This window comes from Homo sapiens, chromosome 17 (assembly GCF_000001405.40).
Source record: "Homo sapiens chromosome 17, GRCh38.p14 Primary Assembly".
Classification (NCBI taxonomy): Eukaryota; Metazoa; Chordata; class Mammalia; order Primates; family Hominidae; genus Homo; species Homo sapiens.
The window spans coordinates 70,364,913-70,370,250 of record NC_000017.11 but is presented as its reverse complement, the minus strand read 5'-3'; the positions used below and the strand labels follow the sequence as shown (position 1 = coordinate 70,370,250).

The following is a 5,338-nucleotide window of genomic DNA, read 5'->3' as shown; positions in this document are numbered from 1 at the left end:
TCAAGTAATTACAAAATGTGGAGAGAAATGGAGGTCAGGAATTTGAGACCAGCCTGGCCAACATGGTAAAATCTCGTCTCTACTAAAAGTACAAAAATCATACCCCTGTAATTCCAGCTACATGGGAGGCTGAGGCAGGAGAAGCCCTTGAACCTGGGAGGCGGAGGTTGCAGTGAGCCAAGGTCAAATCACTGCACTCCATCATGGATGACAGAGTGAGTGAGACTGGGTCTCACAACAGAACAAAACAAAAAAACTATGCAGGTAAATAATATACTTAAAGGGCAAAGTGAATTTGCTCCATTGGCTATTACCAGGCATAGACAATATCAAGAATAGCTAATATTTTCTATTCATAATAGGGAATAGTCAGTCAGGGTCAAGGCAAAAAATAAATGAGTAAATTGCGGAGAATTTTTTTAAACGGAACATTTAAAAATATATACAGCACAGTTAAACTCACAGGGAGGTGAAGCACTGGAGCTGACCACAGTGGAAAGCTGTTACCAGCATAGGTTGAAAGGAGTGTGATGAGGAAATGGTTATGCAAAGTCAGAGAAAACTGTGGGATAGGACTGAGAAGAGCTATGACCTTTGCAAGAGAAAACCAATCACTGATAAACCACAGCTTGGCAGTGACACAACCAAGAAAATTAAGAGCTGAGTTTACTTTCCTCTCACCCTCTGGGCACCAGCTGATTCTCCCATGGCCTGAATCCAACTGGAAGTCAGAGGGCAAAAGGGACTTCATGATGAAAGCTGCAAAAGTCGTCCCCTCAGGCACAAACAAAGCGAGCAATGGGGAAGAGTAGATCTGGAGGTGCTATAGGAAACTATCCAGTCCATTACCTGATTCACTCCTCAGCATCCAGCCTTGTTGTTTTCCCAATGATTCATGGCCCAACAAGGAGAGCCCACAAAATCCATTCAACAATTATCATCTGTGTGATGGTTAAGGGATGGCCAGATAGCCGGTAAACATTATTCCTGGGTGTGTATGTGAAGGTGTTTCCCGAAAAGACTAGCATTTGAATTGGCCAACTGAGTAAAGCAGATATCCCTCAGCAATGTGAGTGGGCACCATCCAATTCTTTGAGGGCCTAAATAGAAAGCAAAGGTGGAGGAAGGTTGATATGGTTTGGCTGTATCCCCACCCAAATCTCATTTTGAATTGTAGTTTCCATAATCCCCACGTATCCTAGGAGGGAACAGGTGGAGATAATTGAATCATGGAGGCAGTTTCCCCATCCTGTTCTCATAATAGTGAGTGAGTTCTCACGAGATCAGATGGCTTTATAAGGGGCTTCCCTACCACCCCCACCCCCCCACCTTCACTCTGCCCTGCTCCTTGCTGCCACCGTAAGAAGAAGGATGTGATATCTTCACCTTCTGCCATGATTGTAATTTCCTGAGGCTTCCCCAGACCTGCTGACCTGTGAGTCAATTAAACCTCTTTCTTTGATAAAGTACCCAGTCTCGGGTACGTCTTTATTAGACTAATACAAAGGGCTAATTTACCCTCTCTGTTTGAGCTGAGACATCCATCTTATTCAGCCTTTGGATGTCAGAGCTCCTGGTTCTCAGGCCTTCAAACATGGATCAGGCCTTCTGACTCTGACTGGGATTTACAACATTGGACCCCAATTATCAGGCCGTAGTACTCAGACTGCATTTACACCACCAGCTTTCTTGGATCTCCAACTTTTGTACAGCAAATCATGCGATTTGTCAAGTTCCATAACCACATGAGCCAATTCCTATAAAAAATTTCCTCTTATGTCTGAGTCTGTATCATCTATATCTATATCATTTTTATCTATGTCTTTGTCCTGTATATCTATCTTTATCTCCTATTGGTTCTGGTTTTCTCCAAAACCCTGACTAATACAATGGGTGATGTTAATTTGGACACAATCCTACTTAAAACCTAAAGCTTGAGTCACCACCAGTGTTATTCATATAAAAGGGAGAATAGAAACAATTAACATGAAACATGCCTGCTAGAGTTCTCACTTCTTCAGCTGGGGATGGGGTCCAAGTTGATTATTCCATCAAGTGTTCCCAGCTGCTCTGCCTTCCAAAAATCTTCCCATTTTATTCTCTGCCAAAATGTACTTGTTTTGCTAATCTGATTGACATATGATAATTGTGCCATGATTAATTCTTTAAATTCACTATCTGTGTACTTATCCATATATAATAACTATGTACAAGATGCTTACTACATCAATATTAACTTTATTTAGAAATGCATATTTTAGCATGCATTACCAAAGACATTGCATCTACCAGAAGAAATGAGTTTTTGAGGTGTAGTATAAGTAAGTCAATAAGCTATTTAAGGGCAAAAATTGTTTCTGATGCTTCCCAATTGTAGCCCTTAAGCAGTCAACTGTACCTTCAGTTTAAGTGTACACCGTAGGCAGTCATTGTACTTTCAGTTATCCTCTCAAAGATAAGTCCAGTTTTAATTTTATATTGCAAAGGTAACATATTTAGTATTGCCTTTACTTGTGAAATACTTGCTATCATATATCTCCACTGTGACATGCTGAATGCTCTGCAGCAGAAGCTGCAAACTCCCTGAGAGTAAGTACTTTTTCTATTGTGTTCAGAACTATAAGTCCCACGTTCGCGACAGTGTCTGGCACATAGGCCCTCAATAGATATTTGCTTAAAATAGAGGCAAGCTAAGTAAACAAAAATGACTAAAGACACCTGGTACGTAATAGGCGGTGAACATGATGACATCTAACTGAAAAATGCATCATCTAATTCAAAGTATTAAAAATGCAGATATTTTTACTTGTGAACCAAACAAAATGCATTTATGGACCAAATCTTGCCAGTGGTTTGTATAATAGAAACATGACACTATAGCAATGTGACCAGCATCCTTATGCAGAGTGACCATGGGCAAACTACCTAATAAGTTAAGCCTCAATTCTCTCAACTATGAAATTGATAAGAAATAATATCTACATAATGGGTTCGATTAAAGGGTTAAGTAAGATTTATCATAATTCCTAGCATATAATTAGTGTTCGATAGTGATAATAATATTAATGCTAGTAACAGCTCATGTTTACTGGGTATTTTACATGTTCCAGCCACTGATACATGTAAGTTATCAGCTCCACATTAACTTATTTAAATTGAAACAAAACGAAACAAAAACAGGATTGATTGGAGCCCGGGGTAAGAACCTGGGCTCTTTACTGCTATGATCAATAAATAAAAATAATTGTCTGGACTAGAACTTATTCTAAACCACCGTAGTGACACTCAGATCTCACAAGAATTGTTCTTGCTAGGAGAAGCTGCATGCATCATTTCTGAAAAGTTTGTTGATTTGGAAATACATTTAAACGATATGTATATATGTGAAGATTCCCATATGTGGCGGCACCTTATGAGAATTCCCTGACCTTTTCTGATCTTTCATCAAGCCACAAAACCTTCACATACAATAGAGAATGGAGGAAGGGGAGGAAAGGAAATGAAGGGGAAAAATCAGGTCCTCTGCTCAGATGGCACCAATAGCCTCCCAGGAGTGTGATGCAAATTGCTAAGCTGTTTCCTCTTCATCTCCCTGGGCCTGGCTGCAGAGCCAGGCAGCTCTCCTCACTTTTAAAGATGTGCTGGGGCTTCAAGTTTGACATTGTGCCTGCTTTTGTTTTTCTAGTGAGGACACTTAAGTACTTTGGGATTTTTGATGTGAGACAATTAGGAGCCTAGAATACCATTAGCTAGAAGAGGAGCAAAGCTGGCAGAAATGGAGGCTGCAGAAGATGTTTATTGCCAGCCTTCTGCCTCTGTAATGAGGAGCTTCAAGCAGCTTTGCCATGCAATTGAGATAGAGTGCACAAGATGCCCAATTAGGAGCAAATGACTGCAGTCTTCAGTGGAAGTGATGAATTGGAATTCTCAGATGTAAATAGAAATGGAAGATTGATTATAACATTTTCAAAAAGGAATTTTGTATCACAGTATTATGAGTTTCAAAGCAAAAATTTTAATAAAAATGCTTCCTGTTAGCTTCAGGGATATCAAATTTATGCAAAAAATTGTTTTAAAAAGCTACCCCGCTTTTAAAAGTTTTTAAAGCTGTAATCTAGTTCTTATAACAGCTGCATTCTATACACAATTTGGAATAATATATGTGAAATTTATACAACATTAATTTTAAAAATCAATGAAAAGTCGATAAATCTAACCACAGTGCCTTTACCATAAATAATACGATAATATTAGAAATTTCTGCAGAACTCTTATGAGGATTCAATGAGGCAACTCAAGCATTTATCAAATATTTATGGGCCATATCCTGTGTCAAACATTGTTTCAAGTACTTGGAATATATCAGTGAACAAATGTATTTATTCCCTGTAATCGACGAACTTAGATTCTGATGGGGGCTGAAAGGCAATTACAAAACATATATTATGCAACAAGTAAATTATTTAGCATGTTAGAGGGTGATAAGTAGAGATGAGCAGAGAAAGCGGGATAATATAGAATTCCTGGGGGACAGTCAAGAGGAAAGTTGAATTTTAGCAGCAGTTAACAGCAGTTGTCTCTTTGAAAAGGTGACATTTGAGCAAAACAAATTCAAGAAGGTCAAAGGGGTAGCAATGAAGATATCTAGGAGTAGAGAGTTCCAGGTGGAGAAAACAGCCAGTATTAGGATGTAAGTTGAAAACATGCTTCAGATGTTTGAGGCAAAGCTTTGAGGTCAACATGTCTGGAGCTATGGGAGAAAAAGAAGATGAAAGGGAAGGAATCAAAGAATGCATAGAGGATGAGATCATAGAGCACTCAGTCTATTGAGAGGACTCTGGTTTTACTGTGAGTAAAGTAGGAAACAGTCACAAGATTTCAGAAGAGGAAGTACATGATTTGAGTGTGGTTTAAAAGCATCCCTCCAACTGCTGTGTTGAGAACAGAGCTTCTGAGCAGAAGCAGGGAATTTGTTGAAAGCTAGCACAGTCATTTCAGCAAGAGATCAAGGTAGTCCAGTCCAAGGTGGTGATAATGCAGACAGAACTGAAACAATGAGCCTGGTCGGAAATTCATACTTCATACCTCTCGACTCTCAGTTACTGGCATTTTAAGGAAGTGGGTGATAAAATGATTTGTCTCATTAGTTGTCTTTCCCAGAAAGGCTGGTACAGTTTGTGAATAATATGGAGATGTTTTCTGGACTTCAAAATTCTTCTTCCCCTCTGAGATTTAGCTCAGCTCAATCCTGAATCTAATCAAAGTAAACGGTGTTTAGATTTTTTTTTTATTCTAAGAAGTTTATGATCACTAGTTTTGATGACTCTCCCATAAATCT

General features: G+C 39.0%; 1 annotated feature.

The window, feature by feature from the left end:
- Positions 3,357-3,958: an enhancer, noted in NCBI's record as "OCT4-NANOG hESC enhancer chr17:68362434-68363035 (GRCh37/hg19 assembly coordinates)". NCBI's record gives its function as "activates a minimal SCP1, AML or CMV promoter by ChIP-STARR-seq in naive H9 embryonic stem cells {active_cell/tissue: H9 hESC(naive)}" and the evidence as "EXISTENCE:reporter gene assay evidence [ECO:0000049][PMID:30033119]".